General features: G+C 35.3%; 1 protein-coding gene across 1 annotated transcript in view, besides 2 other annotated features; it reads right to left on the bottom strand.

Annotated features, from left to right (window-relative positions):
- The window catches only part of RAP2A (RAP2A, member of RAS oncogene family), a 34,960-nt gene that overhangs the window by 8,872 nt on the left and 6,714 nt on the right, over positions 1-19,374 (bottom strand). The gene's annotated exons all lie outside the window — the stretch shown is intronic.
- Positions 347-396: an enhancer, noted in NCBI's record as "active region_7892". NCBI's record gives its function as "activates an Ori minimal core promoter by ATAC-STARR-seq in GM12878 lymphoblastoid cells {active_cell/tissue: GM12878}" and the evidence as "EXISTENCE:reporter gene assay evidence [ECO:0000049][PMID:35858748]".
- Positions 10,975-11,476: an enhancer, noted in NCBI's record as "NANOG hESC enhancer chr13:98101035-98101536 (GRCh37/hg19 assembly coordinates)". NCBI's record gives its function as "activates a minimal SCP1, AML or CMV promoter by ChIP-STARR-seq in primed H9 embryonic stem cells {active_cell/tissue: H9 hESC(primed)}" and the evidence as "EXISTENCE:reporter gene assay evidence [ECO:0000049][PMID:30033119]".

Raw genomic sequence — 19,374 nt, 5'->3', positions numbered from 1 at the left:
AAGAGATATGAAAGTGTGCATCAGGAGTAAAGCCAAAAATGTTGGGGGAAATCTTATGAGATCTCATGGGGCCAAAACATAAGCAGGAGGTTTCACTTCTACAAGCGGAGCCACTACTGCCAGCATGCTCTGACTCAACAGCAGAACTCCAAAATGCACTCATGACCTAGGCAGTTCCATTTCACAGACAACGTTGTTCAAACACAAATATTTGGGATGGTTTTAACTACGTGAATACTGAAGGCTATACTGAAAACTGCCTGATGTGGCATAAATAGCTAGTAATGAACAATCGAACAATCAATACATCATGTACTTATCCATCCACTCAACACATATTTATATACTAAGTGCTAGCCACTATTCTAGACACTTACATCAATGGACAAAGCAAATAAAGCTCTGTAATTAGCAGAGGGCGCAGACATCAACAATAAACATAACAAGTCAATTCTGGGTTTACAATAAAAGTGTTAAGTGCAATGGAAAAAAAGATGTGGATCAGGTGGTGGGTGGGGAGCACAGGTGCCACAGTTTTAAATAAGATGATCCCAGGCCTTGTTGGGAAAGTGGCTGTGAACAAAGATGGGAAGGGTTTCTGGGAATCTGCTCCCTACCGTGCAGGTTCTAGGGGAAGAGCATTCTAAGCAGGACATGCCCTAGACAATGCCTGAGCCGGCGACAGCATGCCTGTCAGTGCAGGGACCAGCTGTGGGATCCATCTCTACAGCCTCCTGCAGGACTCTGGCAGTGGAGGAAATGCTCATTTGAAGCTAGACCTCAGGAATTCGGGTGCCAAAAGTGGCCTCAGAAAACAAATCTGGCACTTATGACAGACTGACTTAGAGGGCTGACTCTGTTATTTAGGAAGATGAGGTGCTTTGTTAGTGGGTGATGACAGTTACTTTCATGTTCTATTTTCATTATCAGTTTTGCAGGTTGCCTTCATTTTCCCCCTTTTCATCATTTCCCCCTTTTCATCATTTCTTCCTTACCCCCTTTTCATCATTTGGACATAAAGCTAAAGATGCAAAATTCTCAAACTGTTCAATGTATGTGTTATTGTTAACCTGATCATGAGTAAGATACCACCTTGCTTACATCTTAAACATCAGCAGATATCTCACCAACTTCAGCCCATCTTCCTTGAAATTTCCTTTAAGGGCATGACCAGCTCAGACGGTGACTGATGCAGGTCTAATAATTTTATTTCTGTGTGTAGTCTGTGGACAAACACTTTTTTATTGACAAGAATTTCCATAGTGTTGACTGTATTCATGAACCTGATTATAAATGTATAAATAAATAAAACTAGTTCTTTTAAGCAGCTCTGCTTAATGGACTGAATGAAACATCAGAAATACTGGCTGTAGCATCACTTAGCTGTAGAATGTTAATGGGCTTCTCACCGAGACAGCTTTTTAAAATATCAGTAACTCAAAAGAACTTGATGTGTTTATCAAAATACTTTATTTTGCTTTCTCCTTTCTTGTAACTGTCCTGATATGTAGGTATGTATACGTATATATATTTTATTCTGGTCGTGTCTGAACTTGGCTGATCATCAACACAACTTGAGAATTCTTTTAAAGATAGTGATTTCTGGGCCCTATTCCAGAGCTAGTTAATCTAAATCTGTGGGATCAGGACCCAAGAGTCTATTAAAATATGTAATATGTCTATATCTATAAGCTCTGAAGATGGATTCTGAAGTTCAGCAGGGTTTAGGAATCACTGGCCTAATCTACTACTTTGTGACCCCAAACAACATTCTATGTGTATAGTTCATGGTTCCATATGCGGCAAGTCCAGACTCAATTCCTTCTTCCCTTCATTTATTCACCAATGATAAACTGTAGACAGATACCACTACTGTCAGTTTCTGTACTTTACTTTTGAGGGTGCTGCATCGTAGCGTATTTAAAGAAGGTCATACTTCATGTGAATTTTAACATGCTGGTATCTTCTTAGTGATAAGCAGGTTGAAATATAATTCTCTTTGAATTTGGAAATGAGAATCAGAAAGGCTTTTCTAAGTCCCCTCATTCATCTTTTCACACAGTTAAAATCATCTACCAAGAGAGTCCCAAGGCAAAACGTCAAAAAAACTGATGCTTCAATTACTTCCATGATAAACTTACCAAATGGCTTTGGAGCTTACGTCTGAACATTTTTAGTGACGTGGAACTCATACCTACAGGCAACCCATTTTGTACTGTCAGGTCTGTTAAATGTTAGTGTTAAAAAGTCACAGTTTAAAAGTTTACTTGTATATAAGGAACTGTGATCTGTAACACCCTGCCCCTTCTTCTCATAGATTCTAGTTCTTTTACCCTTTAGAATGTAGAAATCTTTTCTCCAACATGATATAGGTCCCTCCTACTCTTGCTCAAATTAAATAAGTCATGATTTTAAAAAAATACCTGGCAATACTTAATAGGAAACAAAAAAACATTTTTTTAATTCTTAATCTTGGCTCTGTGAGAATGATCACTATAACTATTTTGATATCTATCCTTCCAAATTATTTTCCTCCATATATCAATATAAGTATACCTATAGCTTTTATAAAAAGAGATTATACCAATTATATTTGGTAGCTTCAATTTCCACTATTACAGAGCTTTCCATTTTAATAAATAATATGTATCATATTAATGGCTAGGTAGTACTCCATTTTATAGAATCTATAACTGTGCCATAATTTAATTATCTGTCCTCCATTAGCGTATATGAAGATGTATTATATTTAGTAGCCTCAATTTCCATTTAATATTATAGAGCTTTCCACTTTAATAATATGTATCGTATTAATGGCTAGGTAGCATTCCATTTTATAGAAACTATAACTGTACCGTAATTTAATTATCTGTACTCCATTAATGCATATGAAGGCCCCCACCCCCATTTTTTGGCTAAAATAAGCAGCCAATCTGATGAACTACACCTAGAAGTGTGATTTCTGCCTCAAAGGGTATGCATTATATATATATATGTATATATATATATCTCTCACGTGTTTATACCTATAATCTTTTGCATACCTTTTGAGCCAGAAAAATCATATTCCTAGCTTAGTTCATCAAATTGCCATGTAAACACAGACACACACAAAGTTTCAGTGAACATCTAGAAATTTATACTAAAACCAATAGTGCTTAAGAGTGCTTGTTACCCTATCCTTAGGATTTACATTTTTAATCTTTTAATAAAGTGTTATGGGAGTTTTGATAAAGTGTTACGGGAGTTTTGAAGAAAGAATTGTTTTTGGTTAGGACTCGAAGGCTTCTACCACAGTTTGCTAGCATGAAACATCAATACTGCTTGTAAGGATGAAAAACATGAGCTAAGTAAACCTGCCCTCTTCCTCCAACCTGACTTGTTTTGAAGCGACTAAATATTTCATCTTAAAAGGGCATTTCTGGTAATTTAGCTTGAATAATTAAAGAAAACCACAGTCCAGCTCTGATGTCCTGTTGGTTTCAGAATGCATACTGAAGATGAACAGAGAGAAATGTGTAAATGTAATGTAAAAAGTAAGGAGAGTAATGATACCCAGAAGATATTCAAAGCTATTAGGAGTATCTCAACCAATAAAATAATCTGCTTTCATAGAAACTGAGTGTTGACATTATATCAGAACAGATTTCTAATGCTTTGATTATCACAATCATTGGACCACTGGATTGTGGACCACTGGTCCACAATGGACCAACTGATGATGGAGATGCAACTCACAGCCATTTTAAATGTTTTATTTAAAAACCACTTGAGAACTTCTATTGTGGCCAGGATAGCATAAGCCCATTAAAGTGCCTATCTCCTGCTGATTACAAATAAAAACTCAGGACAAAACACAAAAAACAATTACCAAAGAACTCTGAAAAGTAAAGAGAAAAAAGCAGTTTGTGGAAGAGAACCAACGCCTGAAGAAGAAAGAGACCTACATGCAAGTGAGTTTCCTGGTTTTCCCGTTTTTTTTTTTCTTGTGGCCTTGAGCTGAGGGTGGGCACTTCCTGGTGCACACAGACAATTAGAACTCTGGGAGACTGTCTTTAACCAGAAGATCAGGGTAAAGGGGGCCCTTTGAGCGTGAGTATGTGTGTGGGCTGAAAACCCTCACTTTTTTCCTTCTTATTTCACAGTTCACCTAGAGTAAGTGATAGCAGAGCTGGGGCAGTAGACAGTGCCAGTAGCTAAAACTTCATTAGAAATCTGTCTTTCTGGCTAGAGAACTGGGAAATGGGCCCTCAGTCCCGAAGAGAGTGGGAGAAATCCCCAGTATACTTCCTCCTCTTTTTCTCTTCCCATTTTACCAGAAGGATGACCCCAATTGCAAGAACTGTGTGGCAGTGCAGAAAGCTAAAACTCTGAAACACCATGTTTCTGGCCAGACCAAAAATGGGCTCTTGTGGTCTAAAGAGAACAGGAGGAATCCCAGAGATCCCTCCAGAGAGGAGAAAAGTAGAGAAAAAGATTCCCTAATTCTGTGTATGAATCAACATAAGCTAATATGAGCTGTGTATGAGTGGGAAGACTCAAAGCAGTATAACAAAGGTTAAAGAACTGAACTACAATTTAAACCACTCCTATGTCTCAGACTAGCCACTGAGTGGTGTATACACAAGACAGCATAGTAAAGGCTTTGAAAATTGAACTGACATCGGAATCATCTTCCAAACAAGGAGAAAGTTTGCAGTTTGAACCTCAGTGGGTTGGTTATTGGCTAAAAGGAAAAAAGAAATCTACATTCTACAGAGGACTGTAACAGGGCCCCAGAGACTAAGCAACATAATACTAAAAATGTCCAACACAATCTAAAATAACCAAACATGCAAAGAACCAGAAAAACTAATTCTCAAGGGTAAAAACTATCAATAGATGTCATATGACCTAGATGCTGAAATTATCAGACTTTAAAGAAGCAATTATAACCATGCTCTATGAGGTAAACACTCTATAAATAAACAGAAAAATAAAATGCTCTCATAAAATACAATAAACCACATGAAAATTTTAGAACTGAAAACTGTAATATCTGAGATAAAACATTCACGGATGAGAAGACTGTACATGACAAAAGATTCAGTAAACTTAACAGATCAACAAAAATGATCTAATTTGAATAAATGAGAGAAAAAAGATTGAAAAAATAAATGAGCAGAACTATGTCAAAGCACAGTATAATCAAATCATTTGAAACTACAGACAAAGATAAAATCTTGAAAGCAGCCAAAGAAACAAATGCATTACATATAGAACAAACAAAAGGACTGAAAATTTCTCATCAGAAACCACAGATGCCAGAAGACAGTAGAACAATCTTTACAATACTAAATGAAAAAACAAAAAACCCTGTCAACACAGAATACTGTATCAGCAAAAATATCCTTCAGAACTAAAGGAAAATAATATTCTCAAGTGAAGGAAATCTAAGAAAATTTATCACTAGCAAATCTGTTGTAAAAGAAATACTAAAGAAAATTCCTTGGGCTGAAGGAAAATAGTATCAAAGCAATCTTGCAATTTTAAAAATGAGGAAAGAAAAATAGTAAATACTATGTAAATATAAGATTATTTTTTCCTCAAGTTCTTTACAATATGTATAAACGTACAAAAAATTATAGTCCTTTTTGAGGATTTTGATATAGGTGGATGTAACGCATACAAAAACTCTGGAAAGCAGAGACCTACATGGTTGTAAGCTCTTTACATTTTACTCTAAGTGGTACAATACAAACTCTAAGTAGACTGTGAACGGTTAGGTATTTATAATGTAATACCTACAACAACCATTTAAAAAACATAAAAGACAACAGATAAAATATAAAAAATTAGACATAACCAGAAAGAAGGCAGAAGAGGGAGAAGAAAAAAATAAGCAGGTGAAAAAATTGAAAACAAGCAGTAAAATGGTGGGCCTAATTGAAGCATATTAGCAATTACATTAAACGCAGGTTTAAACACATGAATAAAAAGATTTTCAGACTTAATTTTTTTAAAAAGACCTACATCCATGCTATCAAGAAGAAATCCACTTTAAATATAATAGATAAGTTAAAGATAAAAGGATAGAAAAAGATATATCATATAAACACTAACCAAATTAGATTTCATCAAAATTAAAATTTTTGCTCTGTGAAAGACCTGAGAGGATAAAAGGACAAACTACAGACTTGGAGAAACTTTTCAAAACATCGATCCGACAAGACTAATATCTAGAACATAGAAAGATCTCTCAAAACTCAATAGTAAAAACAAACTATCCAATTAGAAAATGGGCAAAAGCCATGAATAGACATTTCACTGAAGAGGATGTAGATGGCAAATAAGAACTTGAAAAGATGTGCAACATCATTTGCCATTTATCATAATGGCTAAAATAAAAAATAGTGACAACACTAAAATGCTGGCGAGGACGCAAACTAGATACATTGCTGATGGAATGTAAAATTAGACAACTACTTTAGAGAAGAGTATGGCAGCATAAAATTAACCATGATAATCATCACGAGTGAAAAATTGCACCCTTGGGCATTTAACCCAGAAAAATAAAGACTTATGATCACATAAAAACCTGTACACAAATGTTTACAGGTAAAAATCAGAAACAACCAAGATGTCCTTCTTCAAGTGAATGGGTAAACAAACGGCAGTAAATCTATATCAGATACACTACTCAGCAATAATAAGGAATGACCTATGGATACACACAACACCTTGGATGAATCTCCAGGGAATTTAGCTGAGTAAAAAGGGCCAATCCGAACAGGTTACATTCTGTATGACTTCACTTACATAACTTTCTTGAAATGGCAAAATTATAGAAAAGGAGAACAGACCAATGGTTGGCAGGGACTAAGGATGGGGAAGGGGAATGGAAGGAAGGAGGGGAGTAAGTGTGACTATAAGGGCAACCCGAGAGATCCTGTGGTGATAGAAATGTTCTGTATCAAGGCCAATATTCTGTTTGTGATATTGTACTACAGTTTTGCAAGATGTTACCTCACTGGGAAAAACTGGGTAAAGAGTACATGGAATTGATTATTTCATAAAACTGCATGTAATTATAAACACTTAATTTAAAAAGGTAATTACATATGTAATTTATGCTTTATAATCAAAATGATTAAAAGAATATTTAAGTATAAAAAAGGAAATGTTATGTACAATTAAGTTCCCAGACAGTGCAAAAAGGCAAAGAAAAAAAAGACACAAACAAAAACTATAAACATAACTTATAAAGTGTTTTAAAAAGTAAGGGTTGTGGATACCAGGTTAATCTACACTTAGAATTCAAACATATTAGAATTAGAAAACAATTAGAAAATCCATTTAAAATGAACCATTTACAGTAGCACCAAAGAACAGCAAATACTGAAAATAATCTAGTTAAAGATGTAAAAGACCTTCACAACAAGAATTACAAACCAATGCTTACAGAAATGTAAAAATATCTAAATAAAATGAAAGATATATAACATTTACTTACTGGAAGATGCAATATTATTAACACATAATTTCTCTACTAATTGACTTATGGATTCTATGCAATCCCAATCAAAATGCCAGAAGGTTCCGTTGGTTGTGTGTGTGTGTGTGTGTGCGTGTGTGTGTGTGTGACTGATTCTTGAAAATGCAAAGGATTCTACAGAAATGCAAAATACCTAGAAGAGCCAAAGCAAATCTGAAAAACAAAGCTGGAGGATTAGACACCAGATATCAATACTTACTATAAAGTTACAAAAATTAAGATTGTGGTTTAGGCATAAGAAGGGAGAAATGCAAAAGAGAAAATAGCCTAGAAACAGACTCACACAGATAGATTTGCCTGATTTATGACAAAGGTACGGCTACAATTTACTGGGGAGATGGTCCTTTATATAAATGATGTTGGGTCAACTGAATAGCCATATGCAAAACAAAACAAACAAATCCCCTGACCCCCTATCTCACACCACCCGTACAAATTAGAGATGGATCATAGAAACTAAAGTTAGGTTATAATACTTCTAGAAGTAAATATGCAGAATGGATCCTCAGAACCTTGAGGTAGAAAAAGATATATTAAACAGGACACAAAAAGGAACTAACCATAAAAAGAATTTAAAATTTGACTTCAATAAAATTAAGAATTTATGCTCACTCAAGGAAACTATTAAGTGAGTGAAAAGGTAAGCCAAAGATTGGGGAAAGGTATGTGCAATACATACATCTAATAAAGAACTTGTGTCCAGAATGTATAAAGAATTTCTACAAATTATAAAAAAAGATAATCCAATTTTTAAAATGGACAAAAGACCTGAATGGGTATTTCTCCAAAGAAAATACCCAAATGGTCATAAAGCATATGAAAAGGTACTCCACATCATTATACACCAAGAAAACAAAGATAAAAATCACACTGAGGTTCCTAGAATCCTATCGGATTGATTAAAATTAAAAAGACTGACTTGATCAAATGTTGGTTAGGATGTGGAATAATTGTTACTCTTGCTGTTTACAACTACTTTGAAAAATCACTTGGCAGTATACATTAGTACTGAACACATGTACTTATGATCCAATAATGCTACACCAAAAGAAAGTATACACATATTCATTCACCAAAAGATATGTACTAGAATGTTCTTAGTAGCATCATTCATAACCCCTACCTAGAAACTATCCAGATGCCCCATCGACAGAACAATTAATGAAATCCTGGTATATTCATGCAAGGGGCATCCTGCACCTCCATTAAAAAGAATTAACTACTGGTCCATGCAACAACACGGATGAATCCCATAGAGGATGCTGAATGATGGAAGCCAGAAGTTCATTACTAGGCATGACTCATTTATGGTGGTCTCTGAGTATGGAAGTGGCTGAAATGGAACATGAGGCAGCCTGCTTTGTTGCCTGAAATGTCTGTCCATCTTCATTTGGGATTTGGTTACAGGTGTACACATCCCAGCTGTAAACCTACAATTTGTGCACTTTACTGCATAAAATTTCTACCTCAATAAAAAAAAACAAAAAAAATCAGTAAGATTATAAACAATTTCTTCATTAAAACAGGAAAAGTAATATAACCTTCAAGACAAATTGCATGCACATGCCTGTTGGCTGTGTGTTTACATCACGGAAGGCACATGATTAAGCTGATCACAGTCAGTTTCTTACTCAGCAGAATATCACTAACCAATTTTAAACTTCTGTACAATGCAGTACTGTTTAATTTATATCCAAAACTGGCTAAAGACTGAAAGCATAATGAATATTAACACTGAAGTACAACATGTTATTGGAAATAAAAACAATAGTTCTAAACATTTCCTTCACTATTAGATCTATATATTGCATCCAATTGACCACAGTGCTCTTCAGGCATATCAAGATGTCACAGTACCTCAAAAATCCATGTTAAGAAAAAGGAATATAATAAAACTACATTTAATCTGTTTTTTTAATTAGAAATGGAGATTTTCCACTGTAAAGTGCCAGTAATGTGTTATCTGTGAGGAAGTGTTTGCAAATAGAAGCCCCAAACCTTATCATTTAGAAACCAAATGTAAAAAACCTATCTGAATAAACTAATTGATTCTTTTTTTTTTTTAAGCGTAATATCTAAGTCATTCAAAATAAGGTGGACGAAAGTGGTCATTGATCTGTATTTGATACTTGAATGTGTAGCTAGAGTGTACATTTTAATAAAAAATATGTCATTTAAAAATCTGTCAACAAAGCATGCTTTTTTACATAATTTAAATAGTAAGGAAAACTGAAGCTCGGGCACATATATGGAGAACACACAGCTTTCATCTCTCGAAGGGGAAGAGGTATTCGGACATACAACATCCATTTTATCTTTTTGAGAACTGAAATCTGAAACCTGTGCATTAAAAAACAGGCCTGACTATTGTACTTGAAAAGATTAAATTGAGTCAGTTACTCAGGAATAGGCAAGTTATTTGAAACTGCTACCTAAATTTACATCTGGATTAAATTATAGTATATATCTTTTCAACACCTCTTCATTTTCAGCATCTTTGGCAAAATGTTTTGAATGAAAATTCAGTACACAAAGTTCAATTACACTACTTTTTTAAAGCTACCTCTGAATGAAGAAGATTTAAATAAAGAAGCTTGAAAGCTATGAAGAGCTAAGATTTTTAGGAACTTTTAAATTATGAACAGAAGAGTATTTATCCTGCAAGATTTTTCTATTGTTGTAGTAAGATCTTAGAATATTTATCATTTCTAAATCACTCAGTACACATAACACTAAATAAAACTTAAAAAAAAAAAACCCCAAACACTGAATCTCTATAATACAGCTTTCTAGAAAACTCAGGTTATGAGGCCAACAGAATTAGCATTTCTTCTGCCCAGCAATAAACAACTCAGAAGAGGAAGAGGAGTACCTTCATTATTCATGGCTTGTTGTAACTGGTTGGTTCAACTGGCATGAGATTTATTGGCGATGCCTATTAAAAAGGTCTTTTCACTTGAACCAGGAGAAGTAACAGATGACATGGAAAAAAAAAATAAAACAAATGCACAATGAAGAAAGGAGCTGAAAACTATCATTGTTGGCAGAGGTTATGGCCCTCAACAGCAGCCAATGGAGAATGAAGAGTTACATTTTGACAGGGTTCAAGCCAACACTGAAATGAAAGAAGTCAGAAAGATAGTTTTAAGAATTCACTGTGGGGCAAGGGAGAGTGGATGGTAAGCAACAGAGTGTCCAATAGTCTCTAAGCATGATCAGGTGTAATGAGAGGCCGCAACAACAGGTCTAGTCCAGTAGTGATTACAGGGATGGACAGAACAGGAATTACTGGATGTGAGGAAATCTGTCCCATCATTTTCACTCCCACTACAAAAACGCTTTCATTTCCAAAGTAACTCATACCTAAGACACTGCAACAGTCTCCTAACTGGTCTTGCCTCCAATTTCTCACTCTTCTACTCTATCCTATGCTACTTCCGTAATAATTACCTTAAAACATTGCTTTTTCAGTGATTCCCCCAACCAACTATCCCATAAAAATATGTAGCAGATCTACAGCGACTAGCTAAAAGCCTATCTGTAAGCAGACAAGGAGGTTTCCAGGGTTTATAGGAATTTCATCAACTTGGGCAATCAGCCTGTTTTACAACCTCCTGCCCTACAGCCTGTGTGGAATGCGGTCACTTTGTTGGCTTAAACTAGCTCCTGACAGACCCCTGCAACTTACTATGCTAAAGTCTCCACTGTGGGAGAGGCAACAGCTTCATTACCATAACATGCGACCTATGTGCTGGCATGATGGCTCACTGCATCTGTGCACCTGGGATCCCTCCTCCATATTCAAGGCTGCACCCTTCTCTCCTCTCCATTGCCCCATAAAGCCCTCCTGTTGCTTTTCCTTAGGGAGGCAGTGCCTTGAAGAATCCTTACAGTGTCCTACTTCCTAGCACCAAGTAATAAAACTCCTATTGATCAAAACCCACATTCTCATGGGGAGTTCTTTGTTACTCATCAAGTGAGCGAACCTGAGTTTTTTTCTGGGTAAATTATTTCTAGATTAACAGTCCAGGCCAACCACAATTTGGTCACTGGGGAAAATTAAGATGAAGTGTACCACAAGAGAGAGCTGGATCTAGAGTTAGAGGACCTAGAAATAAGTCCCAGCTCTGCCTCCTTGGATACGTCATGAGCTTTCTGAGCCTCAGGTTCCTTATTTGTGAAACAAACATTAATTGATACTTAGGTGTAATGTTAAGGAAGATGATGATGATGACTTTACTAACAGCTTAGTGTGGTGTTACACACCACACTTGGGCAATCAGCCTGTTTTACAGCCTCCCGCCCTACAGCCATACGTGAATTAATAAGTACTGTGGATATTGTAAAATACTACAGAAATGAGAATTATCCTTCTCTAAGTTCTCTCAAATCGTCTGTTAGTAAGGCAGTTCTAGAATCTTAATGGTGATATAGCTGTAAAAATGTACCAAAACTGTTATTTATGTTTTATCTCCTATCTCTGGCTTCCATTCCTCTGGCCAAGGATGGCCAAAACTAACCATCTAGTCTGAAAACCATTATTCTTGTGGAAAAGATTTGAGAAAAACAGGATAGATACCTTTCCCTCTAATATCTAATACCATCTTTTCCAAACAGAAGTAGCTTTCCTTATTCTGTTCATCTTCCTGCAGTAAATACTAAGTCAAGTCACTAGCTGTGAACCATGGCTCTGAAGGCCTAGCTAAGACAAGGTGGGTTAATAAAAAAAGAAAAAAGAAAAAAAAAAAAAACCCAAGAACTCTGAGTAGTATAAGGAGTTTTGAGCTAAAGTCTTGTTTCTGCCTGAAGCCAGGTGTGCTACCTTTAAAGTTACATCTGGGACCTGAGGAAGGCAAGGGCAATGAATGTTTTATATGCAGCTGTATCCCCAGTGCTGGAATCAGTTCTTGACACTTATAGACACACAAAGTAGAATGAGATAATGAAGTGATGGTCTTCAAATCTGACACTTTCCTTAAGTAGTCCATGGTGTCTGGAGTAACAAAAATGTCACAAAATCAATGCAAACATGTCCATGGCCACCAGGCTAAAAACGCATTTTTGGATGTACACTATCTAAAATGCTTTATTATTTTTCTTTATCATGCCTTGTGTTAGACACTGAAATGCTTAAATTGATTTGATGCATAAGGGGTCTCCAGAGATCTGGGATCTGGAGGGAAACTGTCAAAATACAGAATGCAGGGATCTTTACTTATAAATTCAACAAATATTTACTAGATATTTTCTATGTGTCAGGTGCTAGATATCAAAATTGAGGCAGAGCACCACCAAATAATAGACTCTTTCTTCATCAACAGAAATTAGATGGTTTACATCAATTACTTTTATAAACAGTACACCCTGTGGGTAGAGTGAAGGGGGAGACGGCAGTTCAGACTATGAGTATAAACAGTTGCAAAGGGCACATACATACATTTGAATTTTCTGCTGAAATTAAGCCATAATACACTACATTCTTAATACGATTAAATGTGATCTTCAAAGTACAGTTAATCATGCATGGGTGAGAGTGGTCAAATGACATCGGGTAGATCAATTGCAAGGGCAGTTGGTAGGTGCTCCATAAATTTGCTGTTATTTTAAGAGTTAAAATTTATTCAATCATCTTCAATAAATTTTTTTTAAAGATCTTCACAAAGAAACCAAAAGGATCAATAGTACTCTTACCAAAATAATTTCTAAAATAACATGTTTATCTAAAAATGTGTTATTGTTCCAGATAACTACTGCTGCATAAAACTATCCCAAAACTTAGGGGCTTAAAATAGCCATTTTACTATATTGCATGATGCTGTGGGTCAACAATTTGGGCAGAACTCAGTTGGGCAGTTCTTCTGTTCTACATCATATTGACTGGGGCCACTCAGAGGTCTTTAGTTATAGTGAGCAAGGCTGGGCTGGCGAGTCAAAGATGGCCTCACTTGAGGCCTGGCACGTTGGTAGGAATGGCTGGAAGGGAGCTCCCTCCTCCTCTCTATCTAGCCTCCGGGCCTCTCCGTGAATTTTCCAGCAGCATAGCTGGACTTCCTATGTGGTAGCTCAGGGCTTCAAGAAAGTAAGGCGGAAGCTGTTAGTCTTCTCAGAGATTAGGCCCCAAACTGGCTTGGTTATCACTTCCAGCATACTCTATGGATCAACACAGTCTTAACAGGCAGCACAGACTCAAAGGGAGAGGAAACAGATCCTACTTCTCAATGGAAGTTGTGTCAAAGAATCTGCAGCCATCTTTAATCAAGAGCATTTAGTAAAAAAGATGTCATCTTTCAAAACTGAGCAACATTTCCAGTTCATGAGGATTTGTTTACCCAAATTAACAAAAGCTTTAAAAAAGGAAGCTGGCCAGGTCAAAGAAAGATACTGTTTATTTAAACAAGGTATCTCAAAAATATATGCACAAATGGGATTTGAATTGTCATGATTTAAAAAAAAAGAGAGAGTTTGAGGTAACAGTCTATAGTGACCATAAAATTTATTGCCCACACTGAGATACTTTCAAGATGGAAAGGGGTACTGTAAATAAATGTAGAGAACAACAAGCATAGACCTGAACTGTCCCAGATAAAAGAGACATACAGTCACCTTTGGAGAAAAGGGAATAGATTGAAGCAATGGTACTTATTCAAAGGAAAATAGATATGTGATTGTTAAGAAGCCACTCACTGTGGCCTATAAAGAAAAGCTTCAGGACTCATTACTTAGTAGGATATGCTGATGCAAGCAATAAAATAAATTTCCTTCCCTCCATAAATGTACAAGTATTTCCTTCAATAAAACCAGATGATGTGCTCAGGGTGGCCTTAGGAATAAACATTTTCTGTCATCAAGAGTAGCCTTTTAAAATGTATATACCTCTGGGAGGCATCCTACCATAATTAAGATACTGATTTGTTCAGCAGGGATGGTAAACATACAACATCCTGGCTGCCTCTCTCAGGACAAATGCTGCTGGTGGATCACAGTATTCCCATGACTGAGCTCACACACAGCTGGGGGACTCTCCCTGCACAGAGCTCCACACAGCAGCTGCACCTATTGAGATAATGCTCTGTTTACATCCTTCTTCAATAAAGGTAACAGCACTCCAAAACTAGTTGACCATCCAGCAAGAACAGACATAGGGTTTATGCAAACATTATAGTTCCTTAATGCTAGACCATTGTAAAAAAGTTTTATATCATTGGTATTATGCATAAACTGGATTAACCATTAGAAATTATTTTCTCATCACTTGCTCATAAAAAATAAACTAAAAATAATTAAGTTTAGTTCATTTTCTGGTTAGCTTTCATGTATCTATGTATGTATGCATGTATGTATGTATGTGGCTACTTAACAATAGGATTTCAGTGCTTCACTTTACCAGTCAACATTACTGATTGTCAAAGTTTGTTGGGACTGTTGGTTCACGAAGTAGAAAAAGAAAGCAGTGGAGTGTAAGTGGATCATTGAGGGAAGGAGAAATTATATTTTAGATAGGGAGGATAAAAATGTACTAAATATACTGCTGTGGTCTGAATGCTTGTCTCCCTAAAATTCATATGTTGAAATTTAATCCCCAATGTGATAGAATGAAGAGGTGGGGACTTTAGGAAGTGATTCGGTCATGATGGCTCCACCCTCATGAATGGGATTAGTGCCCTTATAAAGGAGGTTTGTGGGAGCCATTTTGCCCTTTACACCATATGAAGATGCAGCAAGAGGCACCATTTGTGACACGAATTTTGCTGGTGTCTTGACTTTGGATTTCCTGGCATCTAGAACTGTCAGCAATACATTTCTATTGTTTATAAATTACACAGTCGAAGGAATTTTGTTATAGCAGCCTGAAGAGACTAAGACATATACAAAAAGGCGATTATATATAAATATACAATTGTTGTCATTAGTCTTGTAGACAAAATTCTGAATTTCCATAAAATGAATAAAAACTTCCTTAGAAAAGGTGGCCTAATAAGAGCAATGTTTTTGGTGCAAAAATATTTTGAAACTTAGAAATGAAAGTGTCTTTAAAAATATATTTCTGTATAACTCAATACTGCAAAATATATACCCATTTATAGGACATTTTGGCACACCAGAAGGACAAAGATAGTATCTTGTTCTTATTCTGTATAATGCCCAAGGCAATGCTATGCAAATGAGGTGGCTTAAATGATATTAGTTGATAGTGATGACTTTTATACAAAGACAAAACTTTTCTCAATTTGATTATTAAAAAGCTATGCCAGCATGTTACTATATATAACTAGCCATAAAGACTGTTAAAATTATCTTCACCCCATGCATATTTGGTATTCATAAAGAGGTCTACTGTCATTATTAACTTTTTTAAAAAGAGAAGTGTTAACAAATACTAATATGCTGATTGCTTTTTATGTCACATATTAATATTTAAAATATGTGTACTAAAAATCATCACAATTCCTCATGAGTCAAAAAATTTACCGCCACCATTTATAGCCAATATATTTAGGTCTCTAGGGGAAGGCAAAAACACAAAGCACTCAAGGTCTATGCTATAAGTTCTATAACGTAGTGTTAGAGCACTTAAAACACAGAGGAGAAAGCAATGGGAAAAACAGAAATGTTATACTATACTAGGTATATAATTCATCTCAATATAGTAAGACAATTGAGCCTAATTCCTAAGAAGTCACGTGGCAGTATACAGATAAAAGGCTGGGTTTCATTCCTATTTCTGTGATTCTTGGTGAAACTTTATTATTAATATTTTAGGTTCACTATGTAAAGAAACACTTTACGTTCGTTATCTCACGAGTTACTACATCATACTCATATTACAAATGAGGAAATTAAAATGCAAGGAATGTCAACTTGCTCCTAATTACATAACTAATAAGTGCTGGATCTCAGCTTTAATGAGATTAACATTCGCTGTCTTCATGGATGAGAAGATAAGTATATACAATAAAATACTCCATTCGAGAATTATAATACATACAGTATTCATAATGTTCATTGGAAACCTAAAGATGAATTAATTTAGGACCAGGGGCAGTGGCTCAGGCCTGTAATCCCAGTGCTTTGGGCAGTTGAGGTAGTCGGAACACTTGAGGCCAGGAGTTTGAGACCAGCCTGGGCAAAATAACAAGATCCCATCTCTAGAAAAAATTTTTAAAGAATTACTTGGATGCGGTGGTGCCTGCTCTGTAGTCCTAGCTATTCAGATGGCTGAGGCAGAAGGGTTGCTTGAGCCCAGGAGTTAGAGGCTGCAGTAAGCTCTGATGGCGCCGCTGCACTCCAGCCTGGGCAACAGAACAAGACCCTGTCTCTTAAAATACTCTAAGATTTCATTTACAGAGAGAGAGCTGTAAAGATACTTAGTAGAGAAAATACTAATATGCATTGAATTATTAATATAGTATTTCCACATTTGAATTATTAATTTCTAAGGGTCAGGAAAGCATGAGAACACTCCTAAATGTTTTAAATAAAGGTTTTTCAATGTTTCTCTTGGGTAACTTTACTAAGTGATTTTAAGATATTTATAGTTTTACTGTCTTACAGGGAGAGGTGAATCAGTGTTATCCTGGATAGATGCAGCAGACCTCTATTTTGAGTTTTCTGAACCTCCTCAGCAACTGTTCTTGAAATAGATAATCCCGCACTCATGTATTCAAGTCTGAATACTACCACAACCTCCCTTTCTCTGTTCTAAGTTTTCACAAGGCAAAAGTTATCTTGAATTACTAGAATGAACAACATTACATGAGAAATACATTCTCATATTTCTAATATGCACAACAGAGATAAATGCTTTCTCAAAAGATATGCTATATCTTTTTGTTCAGTGACTAAATGCTATCTTTCTCTGAATTACAGGTAGTATTTACTAACTCACATTGGGAAGTACTTCATTTTCGTAATCTTACACAGCATTGCTGGGAACCAGAAAAGCAGGAGAGAGAAGATGAAATATTAAACAGATAGTTACATTTAGTTTTCTTAGAGTAAAAATGTCCTAGGATAGCAGTTTCCAAGCTATGTGTGATAAAATCAATTTGGTGGGTCATGAAAAGCACTTAAAAACAACGAAATAAAATAGAAAAAAATAAATAGAAAAAGTAATACAAGCAACATAGCAAGTTTACTGTCTTATGAAATGTTGATTTCGGCTAGATGTATTTATTCCTATGTGTGCACTAAGTCACAATATAAAATGTACTTCTTACTGAGGGCCCTGGTTAAGAAAATGTGAAATCCCCTGCTGAGTGGATCTATAAAAATAGAGATAGTTATTAATTTTTTCCAATATTTGGCTTTTTGACAGATAACAATTTAAAAATAAAAATTATAAGTCACCTTATTTCTCCCTAAATATAAATTTTGGTATGTTTTAAAATCTTAAATGTATTAGAGAAATAAAAAACAAAAACAAATCCCCATCTATACAATTATGCCAGAGAAAGAATTTAATACATACCATGACAAAATCTTAGCTAGATTATGTATTAGAATCTTCAAATATTGTTTTTAGTTATTTTGATTACTTTAAATTTTACTAATATATTTATGCTTTATTTAACATACTTGACTGAAATGCAGATGTCCACAATTACAGCATTACTATTATTGATATTACTCTACTAAAAGGCTGAGTTTGATCTGGTAAAGCAGAAAGGATGTTTAAGAAATTAAACTTCTCTCTGTCAGGCTGAGAATAATTTTTAATGATATGAACCACAAGTGTCAAAGTAACAAATGAAATGGCAATATATAATATATGGCATATTTCTGCACACCATTAAAATTTCAAGATAAATTTCCTACATAAACACAATATCTATACATTTCCTTTAGTAACTATTCAGTCACCATCAGTTTTACCTTGTTTGAAAGTCTGCTCGTATTCAAACTCTTATTACTCCAAAAAAACTTAGAGTACTTAAAACTCTTTTTACAACATAGGCCTGAAAAATATAAGTGTGTAAAAAAACAGTAGGTAAGAATAGATGGAGAGAAACAGAAAACAGGGAAAAATCAAAACAGAAGCAAAGAAAACCCCAGAGTAAGGCATACATGCTCCCCTAGGCAGTAAGGTTCTAAAGACAATGACTAAAAGAGAACTGAAAAGAAAAAAATACCCCTGAAAAAAAATTCCCTTAAGTACAGTGTACTTGGTTTTATGTAAAGATCCTTGCTTAAAAATATGTACATATACATGCATAATATATGCACCTTATTGTGCCATATGTAATTTCCCAGAACTTCACACACAGAAATTAAATCACTCAAGTATATTGCTACTGAAACTTTAGCAAATAGATTCCAACTTTGTTGGCTCTTCCTGTTGGCTGTGAAATCCAGTGATTTTTCTTAGTTCCTCTACCTCTTCCTTAATGTTTAATAATTTAAATTATTTTTGCCCTCCATTAAAAAATAAGTATTAGTATAATTATTCCTTATTGTAGATTTTATTGATACAATTATCAAATCTTAACTAGACAAAATTGTGGGTCACAGGCTGCTGATTCTTTAAGGTTCATATTAAACTTGACCCCTTCCCTCATCACCCCGGCCAGACAAAAGTGCTCTCACAGAATGTTAGAGAGGAAGAGACATCATCTCCTCCAACTCCAAATTGAGCTTTAAAAATTACAATCCTGGAGTGGCAAAAAGAAAACTATATACTGTAACCTGTAATTTTACAATGCAGCCAAAACAAAAGTTTCCTTTTCAGGAAAAACTTCTGGGCCACATAAAGTGATTCACTGTATGAAGTTCAGTTATGCAAGATAAGTAAGTCCCAGACATCTGTATGGTAATAGTACTTCTAGTTAACAATACTGTATTGT

Source organism: Homo sapiens, chromosome 13 (genome assembly GCF_000001405.40).
Source record: "Homo sapiens chromosome 13, GRCh38.p14 Primary Assembly".
In the NCBI taxonomy this organism is placed as follows: Eukaryota; Metazoa; Chordata; class Mammalia; order Primates; family Hominidae; genus Homo; species Homo sapiens.
The sequence above is the reverse complement of the archived record's forward strand: the minus strand, read 5'-3'. Positions and strand labels throughout refer to the sequence as shown.